The 17,222-nt window shown below is 41.7% G+C and overlaps 1 protein-coding gene and 1 long non-coding RNA gene across 8 annotated transcripts in view; one reads left to right on the top strand and one right to left on the bottom strand.

Annotated features, from left to right (window-relative positions):
* Window positions 248–17,222, bottom strand: part of LMLN (leishmanolysin like peptidase) — an 83,504-nt gene continuing 66,529 nt past the window's right edge. For 6 of the 7 annotated variants that reach the window (NR_026786.2, NR_026787.2, NM_001136049.3 and 3 more), the window contains 2 exons: window positions 7,925–8,135; window positions 248–5,401 (listed from right to left, as the gene is read on the bottom strand). Coding sequence is in view for 4 of the 7 variants with exons in the window: in NM_001136049.3 (NP_001129521.3) it covers window positions 5,301–5,401; window positions 7,925–8,135 (312 nt within the window). In the remaining 3 variants the exon portion in view is untranslated. The remainder of the gene's footprint in view (window positions 5,402–7,924; window positions 8,136–17,222) is intronic. The other variant, XR_007095764.1, reaches the window with a different exon arrangement.
* Window positions 4,501–5,647, top strand: LMLN-AS1 (LMLN antisense RNA 1). The gene is made up of 4 exons (NR_046669.1): window positions 4,501–4,519; window positions 4,744–4,821; window positions 5,110–5,220; window positions 5,305–5,647. It is a non-coding gene; the product is annotated as an LMLN antisense RNA 1 (long non-coding RNA).

Genomic DNA, 17,222 nt, shown 5'->3' with positions numbered 1-17,222 from the left:
CTCAGCCTCCCGAGTGGCTGGGACTACAGGTGTGCTCTACCACACCTGACTAATTTTTTATTTTTATTTTTTGTAGAGACACGGCCTCCCTATTTGAATTTGAGATGCTGGTCTCAAATTCCTGGGCTCAAGCGATCCTTCCACCTTGGCCTCCCAAAGTGCTGGGATTACAGGCATGAGCCACAGTGACCAGCCCTCATCCAGGTTTTTAAAAAACTGATGGTGTTAAATAAAGACAGGATGCAAATTAGTTTCCATTTTTATTAAAGTTGTGTTTTTCTAAGGAATATATCACACTTAAAGTTCAATACCATAAATATTAGTTCTTAAATCTTCTATTTTACTTATTAAAAATGTAAACATAAAACAACCACTCCATCCCTGTCCCTGACCCAATATATATTAAAAAAATATTACTCCTCTCAGGTAAGTTCTTTTCTTCAGAATGAGTAACACAGACTTCATTAAAATCTTTTTAGTCCTCCTGGGCTGCAAGGACATGGCAGGAATGACTAGTGTCCACTGTGACAAGGGTCTGTGACACTGTGACTGAGGCCCGTCTCCTCCTGCCACGACGACTCATGTGCCCTGAGAGACAGGCTCCTCTCTGTCCAGTCAGCGTCCAAGGACACGGACAGTGGTAAGGCACCGAGCACAGACACTGTGATGGACACAGCACGCAGGATGGCGTATGCTCCTGGAGGCAGATCACAGCCAGCACAGACAGCAATTCTGGGTGAGTGTTAGTCAGAGGGTATTAGAGCTGGAAGGATTCTGAGATCACCTAGTCGTTCACAGATGGCCTCAGTCAGTAAGTCTTCTAATGTTAGAAGGAACATTGATACAACTTTATGAAATACTTTGATATATTTATTTATCTTCCTAAAACTAAACCTCATAAGATGATGTTTCAACTTCAAATATTGATAAACCTTAAGCCTAGATAGGCTGAGTAACTGCAAGCATAATTTATAACATTTATAGAATGTCTATTTGATCTCAACAAAAATAACTATCCTATAGGAAAAATGTAAGGGTTACTGGTTTTAAGAAATAAAAGGATGTTTTTCAGAATACTGGAAGGATCTATATGAGGACAACCTACCTGTTTGCCAGTTTCTTTAAAGCTGTCAGCTCAAGGCTACTGACATGGCTTTTGCTTCCTTCCTGTAAATTTTGTTTCTGAAAACCTGAGACAAATTCACTTGATATTTTTGACAACTGGGACCTTAAAATGATCAAAATGAGCCTAAGTCTGAACAGAAAACCAAGATAGTTTTTAATAAGTACTTGACCCTTTTTGAGTCAGAAAGTGACTCCAGTCTACTGTCCCCAAATTGCTGCTCCCCATTCCTTCCCTGTGTCCCTCACTTCCACTACAGCTGCAGCCGGCCCAGCCTGTCCCTCTTAACACAGCGACGTGGCTTCGTCTTTGCTAACATGAAGGGTATAACCTGCCACAGGATATCAACGTGTGGGCCATTTCAATTTCTTCACTTTGCAGCTGAATTTTATACCAATAATTCTGCAATGACATCTCGGATTCTAAAAGTCTGCTTCACTGTCATTTTTTTTTTTCCCAAGAAAGTCTCACTCTGTCATCCAGGCTGCAGTGCAGTGGTGCGATCAGCTCACTGTAACCTCAAACTCCTGATCTCGTGATCTGCTTGCCTTGGCCTCCCGAAGTGCTGAGATTACAGGCTTCAGTCACCGCGCCCACCACTACCATATTCAAAGTGACTAAAATGTGCCTCTTAAAATCTCTGACAGGTTCAGTGTCCTTCTAAGTCTTGCTGGGTACACTATGCAGAATCAATGATGAGTAAAATCATATTCAAGCCTTACTGAAGAGGACGGGAGACATCAACACAGTTACCCTGAGGAACTCAAGACTTTATCCATACTTTATCCAGTTTCACATTTGTCCAGAGAAAACACTGGGCGACCAGGTTCCCAAGCTTAATAAATATATATACAAAAAATGTCATCTATAATATTTTCTTCAGAAAGCCATTAGTGCAAATATAATTATATCAATAAAAAATAAAGCAAAAATATATTTCAAGTATAAAAAGCACCATGCTCAGAAACAATACTACCTAAACGGTGCCACTACACAACAGTCAAAATATAGTCGAACCTATCACTGTGACTCTCAAATATATGATTAATTCATTGTATTTTTGGTAAAATTCTTCATTCAGCTTTGCAGGATGATTCATAATCATAAGAAGTATATGTTTAGATTATTGTAAGTTTCTTTAAAAATAGACTCTTTGCTTTGACTTTTAATTTACACAATTTAAAGTATGTACAACATAGGCAGAAAATGAGCACTGGCCCGCAGACCATTACGCAGGTTGAGCATCACTTACTGAAATGCTTGGGACCAGAAGTGTTTCAGATTTCAGACTTTTTTTTGGATTTCGGATATTTACAGATACCTAATGAGGTATCTTGGGCATGGACCCAAGTCTAAACATGAAATTCATGTTTCATATATAACTACACACACTGCCTGAAGGTAATTTTATACAATATTTTTAGTAGTTTGTGCATGAAACAAAGTTTGTGTTAAGTACTTGTATGTGGAATTTTCTACTTGTAGTATCAGGTCAGCATTCAGAAAGTTTCAGATTTTGGAGCAATTTGGATTCTGGATTTTTGGATTAGGAATGCTCAACCTGTATTAGCTTCTTTTTAGTTAAGTTGACTATGTTTGAGATTCCCAGCTTTTCACAATGACAAATACCTCCCATTTAAAACTGCATGCAAATACATACTTTAAATTTATGCATTTGAAAAAAAAGCGACTTTCCTCTGTGCTGGGGTTGCTGTTGGCTCTAGTGCCAAATAATCAGAATTAATTCTTAGTAATTATGTTGCTTTGCTCACTTAGCATAATTTCTTCAATGGAGTACTGAATAGCTATATGCTGAATGGACGAAAAGCAGGGAAGGACGAGGAAAGGAGGAACAGAAGGAGTCTGTCCGAGGGTTGTGGTTACAATGCCATGGAGGAATAGGAGGAGTCTGTCCGAGGGTTGTGGTTACAATGCCATGGAGGAATAGGAGTCTGTCCGAGGGTTGTGGTTACAATGCCATGGAGGAATAGGAGGAGTCTGTCCGAGGGTTGTGGTTACAATGCCATGGAGGAATAGGAGGAGTCTGTCCGAGGGTTGTGGTTACAATGCCATGGAGGAATAGGAGGAGTCTGTCCGAGGGTTGTGGTTACAATGCCATGGAGGAGTAGGAGGAGTCTGTCCGAGGGTTGTGGTTACAATGCCATGGAGGAGTAGGAGGAGTCTGTCCGAGGGTTGTGGTTACAATGCCATGGAGGAGTAGGAGGAGTCTGTCCGAGGGTTGTGGTTACAATGCCATGGAGGAATAGGAGGAGTCTGTCCGAGGGTTGTGGTTACAATGCCATGGAGGAATAGGAGGAGTCTGTCCGAGGGTTGTGGTTAGAATGCCATAGGACTTCATTAGCTTGAGAGAAAGAATGGGCATCGCCTATCATTCATGAATATATTTTTTCTTTTTTCTTTTCATATTCTTGTTAAACCTCATCTAGCCATTAAAAATTACTAAATGGGGCTGGTAAGCTCTAGTACCAGTGTAAAATTGCTTCTGGGGACCGGAATCTATGTAGTAACAGGAGGAGTGTCAAATGCAGAAGGTAAAGGATATTTAAAGCGAAGGCAATCTTCCAGCTTCTGTGGACTGAGTCTTACTTAAAAGTGGTACAGTGGACGCTACTGGATAGGCTCTACACCAAACTTATACCTTGCTATTAGTACACAATTCAGACCATCCTTCTTAAACATAAAACCATTTTCAGATGTTAGAAATTCTTCTGCAACAATTTCTTAACCCATTTTAAAAAACTGCATACCCGTCTTTACCAGAATTTCTTTTTATCTTCATCGGTCACAAAGGAATAGTTGTGTTTTTGTTGTTTCACAGTTGTCTTAAGTATTATCTAAAACAATACAATTATTTTTTTTCTGTTTGCATGTCTTCCATGTTTTTACAGGGCAGAGTATTTTACTCTCTCGGCTTCCACATTTTTTCATGTCATTATTAAACTCATGGAGAATACAACCAGAAGCTGAGCTCTGAAGAGGGATGAATACAGAGGGCTACCAGCACAGTGATAGCAGTTCTGGAAGCTGGGCTCTGAGGAGGGATGAATAGAGGGCTACCAGCACACTGACAGCAGTTCTGCCGTAAACTGCCACATAGCTGGCAAAAAGGGCAAGCACGGTTAAATCATAAGATTTAATGAAACATTATTTAAAAAAATTCTTTAGAACAATGGGAACAGTGAATTAAGTTTACTATATACCAGCCATTAATTTTTTTTTTTTTAAGATACAGGGTCTAACTCTATCGTGCAGGCTGGAATACAGTGGTGCAATCATAGCTCACTGCAGCCTTGAACTCCTGGGCTCAAGCGATCCTCCTGCCTCAGCCTCCCAAGTAGCTGGAACCATGCCTGGCTGCCATTAAATTTAAAATAGGTATAATAATGATATGTAGAAATCCCAATTCCATTATTTTCTATAACTCAAAGGACAATTTATACTTTTGAGGACAAGATCTCCAATTCTAATCTTGCAATAATTGGCTGTTGTTTAAGTGACTGCAGTATATGGATGATGAACTTTCCCATTGTTGTATGTTAATAAAAATGTTGAGGTATGTAATCACTCTGAAAATTCCACCCATTATCCTATTTTCAAAGGAAAACTTTGGGAAGATTACAAACCCTGAAAAATGAAGACTTGGTGGCTTGCAGTTCCTTCTCCTTCTCCAAGATGAGGTGGTTGGGTTGCTGAAGAAGGTGGTTGGTTTGCTGATGAAGGTGGTTGGGTTGCAGATGAAGGTGTTGAGTTGCTGATGAAAGTGGTTGGGTTGCAGATGAAAGTGGTTGGTTTGCTGATGAGGTGGTTGGGTTGCTGATGAAGGTGGCTGGGTTGCTGATGAGGTGGTTGGGTTGCTGATGAAGGTGGCTGGGTTGCTGACGAGGTGGTTGGGTTGCTGACGAGGTGGTTGGGTTGCTGACGAGGTGGTTGGGTTGCTGATGAAGGTGGTTGGGTTGCTGATGAAGGTGGTTGGGTTGCTGATGAGGACAGGCTGCTGTGAAGTTCTGCTTCAAGGTCTGATGGTCGTCAATTCTTCCAAGCCAAAGCCAGGAATGCCACTTCTACCATCTGCATAGGTTGGCACTCACTCAAACTTTGTGCTTTGTTCACAAGAACATAACATAAAAGAATATCTTGAAGATCCACTTTTCCATTCCTAGTGCCATATACACAGAAGAAATCCAGCCAGCAGAGGAAACAGATTGCCTAGCAGAAGCCAGAGGGTGACCACCAGGCTCGAGGAACAGGAACAAAGATCTAGAGTTGAAAACAAAAAACTGACTTTCTATAAACAATTTTGGGATAAATCATACCAATTAAATATTGACAGATGAAGAGCAGTGATTATTAAAAAGTAAACAAGGACCACCTTGAGAGCTAAATCAAGAGCAAAACCCAGGTATAAAAAAGTTTTTGTTTCTTTTTTAATGGAGGAAAAATATATATGGAGGAAGAAATGATGTATCCACTATGTCAAGGTTAAAAAATGGTATCCAAAAAAAATTGCCTTGGGGTAGTACCCCAGCAAAGATAAAGATCTTGGTTATTCTGAGATGGGGTGAAGAACTTTCTTCTTTTATTCTTTCTTTGTACCTTCTAAGTAGGGTGACCATATAATTTATCAACACAAACTAGTACATTTTGAGAATGCAAGGGTGAGTACTATTAATAATGACAACAGGCAGACGGACTGTGAGGATGCAAGGGAGAGGACCATCAATAATGACAACAGGCAGACGGACTGTGAGGAGGCAAGGGAGAGGAGCATCAATAACGACAACAGGCAGACAGACTGTGAGGAGGCAAGGGACAGGACCAGCAATAACGACAATAGGCAGACGGACTGTGAGGATGCAAGCGAGAGGACTATTAATAATGACAACAGGCATATGGATGGTCTCAGGCAGACCAGAACATATGGTCCCCTATTTCTAAATATCTACCCATACATTCATATCACCAATCAATCAGACTTGATTTTGAAACAGCAGAAGATTCTACAGATTTTGGGCACTAGAGGTATATTTTAATTCAGCCATGAGGTGTCCTCATAGGTTAAAACAGTTCTCATAATGGAAATATTTTTATAGCAGTAGGGAGATGAGGCCAACCTGACCTTATTTTAGGATGAGTTGCCCTTTTAAATATTTTAAACAATAAAGATGAGCTTTTATTTATTTATTTTGAGACAGAGTCTCATTCTATTGCCCAGGCTGAAGTGCAGTGGTGTGATCTTGGCTCCGCCTCCCGGGTTCAAGTGATTCTCCTGCCTCAGCCTCCTGAGTAGCTGGGATTACAGATGCATACCACCACATGTGGCTGATTTTTGTGTTTTTAGTAGAGATGAGTTTTCACCATGTTGGCCAGGTTGATCTTGAACTCCTGACCTCAAGTGATCCACCTGCCTTGACCTAAGATTTTATATCAAATAAAATTAATTGTGTCATTATGATTGTAACTGCAGAAAACTCAGCTGCCTCACTTGGAGTACTGTGTAGAGCAGAGTTAATACAGCAGGCCTGAAACTGCTATCTTTAGAAAGTTCTGCATGCAAGGAGGGCCTTTGCTGGTGGCTGGGAACTGGTTTCCTCACAACTTTGCCCCACGCACCTCTTCCCATTGCTGATTTTGCTCTGCATCATTTCACTTTAACAAATCTTAGCCATGAGTACTATGATGAGCAGCTGAGTCCTGTGAGTCCTTCTGGTGAACCAACAAATTTAAGGTGCTCCTGGGGACCCCCAACACAAGTACTCATCTTCCAAAACTCATCCTCTGCCTACAGCCCCTAGGGGATGAGGTCCTCAGGATTTGGAAAAGAAGGGAAGTTAATCTTAGAGGTGGAGAAACTTTGACTTGAAAACTGAGTGTGGCCCTCTATTTTCAATCACATCACACCATGGACTAGGCAAAGGGCAATGCAGTTCCACCTAAAAAACACCTCTAGTTGAGAAAATGAAACATTGCATAAGATTTTTATTGTTCATAATCTGAAATGTCAAACTGCCATAAAAATCTCATAGGTCATTTAAATCAAAATTTTAATTGTGAATTGATGAATTCTGCTTTTATACTCTCAGCAATGCATTATCAGCCTCAGTTTGAACACCGTCAATTTCATGGGGAAGGCGTTCTTCTCAAGGGTGTTTTCTGCATTCCCCTCCTGCTTCTAAAGGGTTTAATTGGCATCTGTCTCCTCATAACTTCAATCTCTTGGTGCCAGTTCCATTCTCTGGAGTCTCACAGAACGAGCACTCGGTCCTATTCCTCAATGAACCCCCCGGTCTTTGCCAGCCCACATCTCTCTGTCTCATTTCGCATGTGTGTTATTGCATCTTTCTCCTCTTTGTGGGTATGCCAATTCCTTTTTTCGGTATCTTTTCCAGGTCTTTCCCTCACTTTCACTTCAGCTGATTATGATATGACTAAAATATATTTAATTACTTTTTGTATTTAATGAGCAGAATTTTGTTTACCCTTAATTTCCAAATGAATGGATACAACGTTCACTTTTTGTGATCTTTGATGAATAATTCTGTGCAACTCAGAGGTTCTTCACCAGAAAGGTTCCTCACCCTTGCTCTTACTCAAAAGTGTCAAGTTGACCTACCTTAGATTTCCGATAATGGTGGGAAGGAGGAACTTCCCATAAAAATGCAATCAGCAGAGAAGAAACTCAACTTGTTTTAGAGCTTCCTTGAAGGGAAATGCCAACATTTTATAAGAGAAGTTCACCTCCTTCACTTTTCCCTCTTTATTCCAACCATAGAGAGCACTCACCAAGTGGCAGAGCTCGGGTCAGGTTAGTGGCTGGAGGATCTGTTTCTGGAGGACAGAGCTCACAGAAGTCCCAACATGATGGGCAGAGCAGGTTTCCATCGTGAATCCAGCCATTCATCTGGATACTGACAGGGAGGACCTGCCCAGCCCGACTACACAAATATGAAGTATCTTGGACCCAAACTTTCAGACCTTGAGGAGAACAAGAAACCTTCAAACAGGAAAAAAATAGATATATAAAAATAATAAATATCAGGTCAGTAAGATTCTAAGAGATTTCTCCTTCAACTACAGGAAAATATATTAAAACTTACTAAAAACATTGGCTATAAAGCACAATTTGCAGTGTGGGCATAACTTTAACCTCATATAAAGAGTTAAGTTGGCCGGGCGCGGTGGCTCACACCTGTAATCCCACTCTTTGGGAGGCTGAGGCGGGCAGATCATGAGGTCAAGAGATCGAGATCATCCTGGCCAACATGGTGAAACCCTGTCTCTACTAAAAATACAAAAACTAGCTGGGCGTGGTGTCATGCACCTGTAGTCCCAGCTACTCAGGAGGCTGAGGCAGGAGAATCGCTTGATCCTGGGAGGCAGAGGTTGCAGTGAGCCGAGATCATGCCACTGCGCTCCAGCCTGCCAACAGAGCGAGACTCCGTGTCAAAAAAAAAAAAAAAAAAAACCAAAAGAGGGTTATTTAGGTCCTAAAAGAATTACACTCTGTGTGGCAGGAGTTCTTAAACTTTGAATCTAGCACCTTTTTAAGAATCTGATGGAAGCTATGGACACTTTTCCCAAAAATTACAAGGGGGCACACACATACAGCTTTTTTTTTTTTTTTTTGAGATGGGGTCTTGCTCTGTTGCCCAGGCTGGAATACAGTGGCGATCTTGGCTCACTGCAGCTTTGAGTACCTTGGGCTCAGATGATCCCCCCACCTCAGCCTCCTGAGTAGCTGGGACTACAGGCATGTGCCACTATGCCTGGCTAATTTTTGTATTTTCTTGTAGAGATGGGGTTTGGGTTTTGTCATGTTGCCTAGGCTGGTCTCGAACTCCCGGACTCAAGTTATCCACCCACCCTGGCCTCCCAAAGTGTTGGGATTAAAGGTTTGAGCCACTGCACCTGGCCATAAGTCAAATTTTAATTGGGGTTTGAAATTATAAAAATGTTTATTATAAACAAACAAGAATTTATACAGCATAGAAACGCCACACAGCACAAGTTCTTCATTCTTTCTCCCTAACCCTAAATGCTCTGCTCAGTCACAGGAATTTTATCCAGACCTTATCTTTAAAGGCAAGACTCATAGCTCATTTGCACGTGATAGCTAATGAAATCAGTTTTTAAAAGCAAAAGAAAACACATTAATGCTAACTTTTAAAACATTTAGAAATAGTAATTTTTTAAAATTTTAATTTATTTATTTTTTTTAGACCAAGTCTCACTCTGTTGCCCAGGCTGGAGTGCAGTGGCATGATCTTGGCTCACTGCAACCTCTGCCTCATGGGTTCAAGCAATTCTCGTGCCTAAGCCTCCCAAGTAGCTGGGACTACAGGCCTGTGCTACCACACCCAGCTAAATTTTTGTATTTTTAGTAGAGATGGGGTTTCACCATGTTGGCCAGGCTGGTCTTGAACTCCTGACCTCAGGTGATCTGCCCGCCTCGGCCTCCCAAAGTGCTAGGATTACAGGCGTGAGCCACCGCACCCAGCCAAAAATTTTAACTATTTTAAAAAAAACCTCAAAGTTGTTTTCTACAAAGACTTCACATTCAATTATGCTACTTCCCTTTAAACACTTCTGAAACTTCTCTCTTGGACCTATCTTCAAAGTCAGTGCATGCTTCTGAACCTGTCTGATGGTAGCAAATTTTTAAGTAGCAAGTAGATATAATTTTTGGAAATAGCCCAAGGTTGCCCAGAAGCAAGTCCAGCAAAGGTAGTTGACTAACCTGGTTAAGACAACGTGTGACACAAAATTACTAAGATTGATTTCCTTAGGTGACTATTAAACTACCAAAGATAATTTCAAAAGTATATTTGAAGTCATTTTGAAATAACTCTATCATCAGTTAAGTTGAAATATATCACTCTTTTGAACATTTGTTTTAAGATATCACAAAAACAAACAATGAAGTGTGACCTCTTCTCTGTCACTCCGTGATCCACATCAAGTAAGCATCACCACAGCTACAGTGCAACATCATTATTCTTTAAAGCGAGACTTGATCAAGCGCCGTGCTTGGCGCTGAAAAGGACACTAAAAAAGTACACAATACAGTGCCTGCCCTCTAGCAGTTTCAATTGAGGAAAGAGGAGTAGGATATAAAAATTTTTTTCAGCCGGGCACAGCGGCTCATGCCTGTAATCCCAGCACTGTGGGACACCAAGGCAGGTGGATCACCTGAGGTCAGGAGTTCGAGACCAGCCTGGCCAACCTGGTGAAACCCCGTCTCTACTAAAAATACAAAAATTAGCCAGGCGTAATGGTGGGCTACTCGAGTGGCTGAGGCATAAGAATCACTTGAACCCAGGAGGCCGAGGTTGCAGTGAGCTGAGATCCCATCACTGCACTCCAGCCTGGGTGACAGAGTGAGACTCCATCTCAAAAAAAAAAGATAATAAAAATAATAATTTTTTTTATAAAATACTAACTGTATTTTGAAATTAGAAGAAAAAGCAAAAAATGAACAGTACCAGACTATTTTATGATTAAGAGTCAATAAATGGTAGAAACAAGAACAAATATTAGAAACTTTCATGGAAGACAGCATTTGCATCCTAAGGATGTACACAGGATTTGGACTACTGCCGGGCAGATGTTACAGGTTGGGAAGCAGAATGCACATGGCTTAGAGATGAGAATTATATGAGAGTGTTGATAGGACAAGAGGAAAACTCCCTTGCTGAAGTTGAAGTATTCTCATTGTGGAATTCTGGGAATTAAGTGTGGGCAGGAGGGTAGATGTACAGGTAGCAGCAGACATAACAGACTCAGGAAAGCTGGATCAAAATCCAGCAACAGGAAGAGCCAGGAAGAAACTGATCTGCAGAACACAAGAGGGCTCAGGACTGCCACAGCCACACCTGGTACCAAGAAGTAAGAGCTACAATCAAAAGGATTAGACAAACGTCTGTTTCAGAGACAGACGCCAGCATTCCTCTCCCTCACTGCGACCAGCTGGACCAGTTCGTTCCGAACCCAGCTGATATAGTTTGGGTATTTGTCCAAATCTTCTGTTGAAATATGATTCCCAGTGTTGGATGTGGGGCCTAGTGAGAGGTGTCTGGGTCATGGGGATGGATCCCTCATGAATAGCTTGGTGCCCTCCCCACAGGAATAAGTTCCCCAGAGATCTGCTTGTTCAAGAGGTCGGGAGCTCCCTCCTCTCTCGTTCCCGCTCTATGTGATAAGCCTGCCCCCACTCTGCCTTCCGCCATGACTGTAAGCTTCCTGAGCCGTCACCAGAAGCCGATGACAGCACTTATGCTTCCTGTAGTCTGCAGAACTGTAAGCCAAAATTAACCTCTTTTCTTTATAAATTACCCAGCCTCAGATACTCCTTTACAGCAACGCAAAATGGACTAATACACCAGCATACTGGAGATTTATTTTTTGGAAAGGGTAAAACAGAGTTTTTCTGTTCTGGGGAAAACTAAGTACAGCAGAGAGCTGGGATGCCATCATGAAAATAAGGACTCGAAGTTTACAGGTTAAAGCATTCAAAATCGACTTCCTTCCTAGAACTCTGACAGCATATAAACTTAGGCGGGTCACTGGCAGTTTCTCTGACCAATCTGACCCGTCAAAAGGACGGACATCAAAGGTTTTGTAAGAAAGGAGCCCCATAGGGAGACCACAGTCAACAAGCCCTATGTGTGTGCTCAGAGCTTCCAAACTGGCTTCCAGGCACTTTTCTTTTCTTTTTTTTTTTTTTTTGAGTCAGAGTCTCACTCTGTCGCCCAGGCTGTGGTACAATAGTGTCATCTCAGCTCACTGCAACCTCCACCTCCTGGGTTCAAGTGATTCTCATGCCTCAGCCTCCTGTGTAGCTGGAATTACAGGCGCCCACCACCACACCGGGCTAATTTTTGTATTTTTAGTAGATGAGGGGTTTCATCATGTTGGCCAGGCTGCTTTCAAACTCTTGACCTCAAGTGATCCGCCTGTCTCGGGCTCCCAAAGTGCTGTGATTACAGGTGTGAGCCACTGTGCCAGGCTCCAGTCACTTCTTGAATATGAACAGGCTGTTAATGATCACCAAAAATAGAATCAACCCATTAAATTTTGGAATACTGGGGCTTGTGGCAGATGAGGATGTGGTATGCGAAGTTAAAATTAAGAATTTACAGCTTCCAGAGAAGAAAGAAAAAAGATTCTGGCAATTGAAACTCAGAATGACACTGACAGTCAGCACACAAAGGAAAAATGCTTTCAGAATTCTGATGGAAAATAATTTTCTTTCTTTTTTTCCTGCACCCAATCATCCATTAGGAAAATAATTTTCAAAAATAAAGCTATACCCACCCAAGCTATTGAAGGACGGCAGAACACGCCACCCCAAAATGTGCTGTTTTGGCACAAAGGTTTCCAGCTAAAGGGACTTCAACACAGCAGACCCAGCAAGACTGTTCTGACATCCCCCTTCCTCCTGAAAGCAGAAGACACAACTCCCACATGAATAATACCCTTCCTTTTCCAGGAGAAAACAAACATTTTTATCACCAATATGGGGAGTCAAAGCCAAAGAATTTGGTACAAACAGACCTTCTTAAAATAATTCTTATCTTCCTTTAGCCTCCGCATACATTTTACTTTTCTGTAACTGTCTCCCTTTGTTCAATGTAGTATAAAAGTATATAGGTTTCACACTTCTTTGAGTTTTCATTTACTCATGTGGGCTCCTGTGTCATGTAAAACTTAGATTAAATAAATGTGTATGTTTTCCTCCTGTTCATCGGGCTTATGCCTATTTCATTCTCAGGCCTAGCTGAGGACCCTGAGGGCAGAGGTGAGGTCCCGCCTTCCCACGCTGTCAGCAGGCGTCACGGTGGAAACTAGCTGAGGACCCTGAGGGCAGAGGTGAGGTCCCGCCTTCCCACGCTGTCAGCAGGCGTCACATCACGGTGGAAACTAGCTGAAGACCCTGAGGGCAGAGATGAAGTCCCGCCTTCCCACGCTGTCAGCAGGCGTCACAGTGGAACAGTGATGCTTTCAGACATGCAAGTCTCAACATTGTTCTCCGTCACATACTCCTCAAATCTCCACTAGAAGATATGTTCCATTAAAATAAAAAAAATCCAAAAAAGAATATGACACAAAATCCATGAAGGAGGGGATCCAATATGAGAGAGACAGAGGGACCAGAGGGACCTCCAGGATGATCCTGACTCGAGATCCCAAGATGCCAGCTGTGCTGCCAACATAAGGATTATATAGTCGAGATTAGCACAGGCCAGAAATGTCCAGAAGAGATTTCCTCAAGATGAAATGGATAGAATACCTCAGGTATCTGGTTCTACTGAAAGGAGATGAGCCCAACTGGGAGAAGAGCTTAGAATTGAATTAGTGCTAAATACAAAGAAAACTAATTGCAAAAAAACAAGGTCTTAAATCCAGAGAAAACGAAATACTGGGGAGAACGGGGAAGTAATGATTGCATGCTACCAGGCGCCACGTCTGCATAGTCCTGGTAATGTAAACAGTGAATACGTATTTATCCATAATCACCACTGGGAGGATGGGAAACAAGAAGTGTACGATGGGGAAAGAGGAAGTGAACACAGCAAGAGGACGAGGCGAACCAACTAAATTCTTATTTTCCAAAGTCAACAGCTAACATTTGAAATTCAAACCTTATGAAAGAATAATATAAGCTTTTTAAAAATAAAAAAGCAGGCCAGGTGCAGTGGCTCACGCCTGTAATCCCAGCACTTTGGGAGGCCCAGGCAGGCAGATCACTTGAGGTCAGGATTTTGAGACCAGCCTGGCCAACATGGTGAAACCCTGTCTCTACTAAAAATAAAAAAAAACAGCTAGGCATGGTGGCGGGCGCCTATAATCCCAGCTACTTGGGAGGCTGAGGCAGGAGAATCACTTGAACCTGGGAAGCGGAGGTTGCAGTGAGCCGAGGGATCATGCCACCTGCACTCCAGCCTGGGAGACAGAACAAGAATCTATCTCAAAAAAGTAATAATAATAAAAAAAAATAAGAAAGCAAATAGTAAGTCTCCCCTGACTCCTCCACCCCCAACAAAACAACAACTAAGAATTGAAAGTGAAGACTCTGGGAAGAAGTAATAAACATTAGGGAAGTAATAACAGAGGCTCTAGTTTTTTGTGTGTTTTTCTGTTTGTTTGTTTGTTTTTACATGTAGTCTCACTCCATTGCCCGGGCTGGAGTGCAGTGGTGCGATCTTGGCTCACTGCAACCTCCATCTCCCAGGTTCAAGCGATTCTCATGCCTCAGCCACCTGAATATCTGGGATCACAGGCAGGCGGCCACCATGCCCGGCTAATTTTTGTATTTTTAGTAGAGACAGGGTTTCACCATGTTGCCTGGGCTGATCTCGAACTCCTGACCTCAAGTGTTAGCCTCAGCCAACCAAAGTGCTGGGATTACAGGCATGAGTCACAGCGCCTGGCCTGAGGCTGTAGTTTTTTGGAAGCAGACAACAAATTTGTTTCAAACTATTTGCATGTAAAAGTTTGATCAAAACTAAAATTTTAAAAGGATCAACGTGGTCATGGAAGTAAGATGAGAGGAGGGAAATTAGTTAGGAAACTGTGAAGTGATAATGGCTTGAACTATGAAGGTAAACCTAAAATAAAATAGATATAAGAGATTTCAATAGGAGAGTAATCTAAAGACTTAGTCTGTATTGACCGTCTTTATAGAACAGAGAGTAGAAAATGATCATTCTGGTTTCTAATTAGAGAGACTGGGACCAGTGCTGGAAGCAACACAGCCGAAATGCAGCGTTGTTGAGAGAGGGCTCCTAAACTGGATTTTGGAGGAACTGAATTCAGAATGATCAAAGTACAACCAAATGTACTTGAGACGTCCACAGCCAGTTCAGACATGGGGCTGGAATGATGTAAGATGATACTAAGAACGACTCTTTAATACACACCACAGAACAGTATGTGTAACTTGATACTATTGGTGTAAAAAATGAAACAAAAATATAAATTTGTGCCTGCACAGAGTTTATCTTTAGAAGGATGCAAGAAACTGGTAATATTACTTCCCTCCGAAGGGAGAAGTGAGTGACTAAAAGACGGGGCTGGGAAAGGCTTTTCCTGTACCCTGTACATTCTTTTGCATCTTTTGAATTTTTCACCATGTGAATTGCTGACTTATTTAATCAATATATAAATTACTTAAAAATTTATATTAAAAGGTGCCATCAGCACAAAAGGTGATATGATAAGGTCCATGATCTCAGTTTCATCAGGGAAAAACATGTTAAGAACACAAAGGGTTGACATGAAAACACACGCTTAAAGGTCTCTTTTGTACAGAGATAATACAGTTTCCCTTTGAACTTTCACCTGAAGTATTTCATCCCACTTTTTATTTCATTTATTCTTATTTATGTTAGTCTCAGCAATTATTTAGCCACAGATAGCCAATCTTTAACTTATAACAAAGTCCATTTCAACAACTCATTTATCTTATGGACGAATATCCTACAGGTGTCAAAGCCCACAGAATGTAGAACACCCAGAGTGAACCCTAATGTGAACATGGACTTCGGATGATGATGTCGGTTCATCGAAACACCCAGAGTGAACCCTAATGTGAACATGGACTTCGGATGATGATGTCGGTTCATTGAAAACACCCAGAGTGAACCCTAATGTGAACATGGACTTTGGATGATGATGTGGGTTCATCGATTGTACCAAAAATGCCTCTGTGGTACAGGATGCTGACGGTGCGGAAGGCCACGAGTGTGTGGAGCAGGGGTATATGGGAACTCTCTGTACCTTCCACTTAAATTTGTTGTGAACCTAAAATTGCTCTAAAAAATAAAGTCTATTAATAATAATAAAAAAGAAACCTCAAAATAACACCAAAAACCCCTCAACAACAACAACAAAAAACCTAGTTTGGTAGTTCCTAAAAAAGCTAAACATAGAATTGCCATATGATACAGCAATTCTACTGCTGAGTAGACTGAAAATAGGGACTCAGACAGATACGCGGAAGCCAGTGTTCGCTGCAGCAAGACTCCAATAGCCAAGAGGTGGACACAAACGACCTAAGTGTCCATCAACTGATTCAAAACGTGACAGATCCATACAATGGAGTGTTATTGAGACATAAAGGAACACCGTAAGGAATACTGTTCTGATACATGGCACAATGTGGATGAACCCTGAGAATGCCACGCTAAGTAAAAGGAGTCAGGTACAAAAGGACAAACATGGTATGATTCTACTTATAAGGACTATCTAGATTAGGCAAATCCACAGAGAGAGGACGTAGAATAGAGGCTGTCAGGGCTGGGGGAGGAGGAAGAGGGAGGGATTGTTTAGTGAGTACAGAGTTTCTGAGACGCTCGGTGGCAATGTGCATGACAACGTGAATGTATTTAGTGCCACTTAACTATACACGTAAAAACAGTTAAAATGGAAATGTTTATGTTATATATATTTTGCCACAATTTTAAGAAAAAAAAGCCCAGTGATCCCTCCCTTTCTCCTTTCCCCTTCCTCAAAAGCAATTACGTCTAAAGCCGTTAAGTGAGGCAAGGTAGGTGATCTGTTTGGAGGGGTGGGGGAGGTGTGTGACCGGGAGGTCACGCAGAGTTGGCCGGGTGACGAGGGTAATGGGAGTGGGAGAAAGTGGACGGGATGTGGATAGATCAGATGAGTAAACATGCTGAGATGACAGCAGCTGGACTTCTCACTGTTGGTGAAGGAAGTACATATGTGAAAAGGTGGAAAACTAAAATAAATGCTTTGGTATCAGACAAGGTCTCCAACCGATGGAATCAAACCAACCTTACTGATGCAAACTCATGATTACTTACACACACACACACGCACTCACAGGAGAGTGTACTGATACATATACATACATTTCCTACCTTACTAAGAGGGCCTGATGAGCTGGTATTCCCAATTCCCAAATGTTATTATCAATGACAATCAACAGTATAATTACCACCCAGATCTTAGTCTCTAACACCACACTCCACTAAAAGCAATGAACAGTATAATTAGCGCCCAGATCTTAGTCTCTAACACCAAACACTCCACCAAAAGCAATCAACAGTATAATTAC

Source organism: Homo sapiens, chromosome 3 (assembly GCF_000001405.40).
Source record: "Homo sapiens chromosome 3, GRCh38.p14 Primary Assembly".
Lineage (NCBI taxonomy): Eukaryota > Metazoa > Chordata > Mammalia > Primates > Hominidae > Homo > Homo sapiens.
This window is presented reverse-complemented; position numbering and strand designations above follow the sequence as displayed.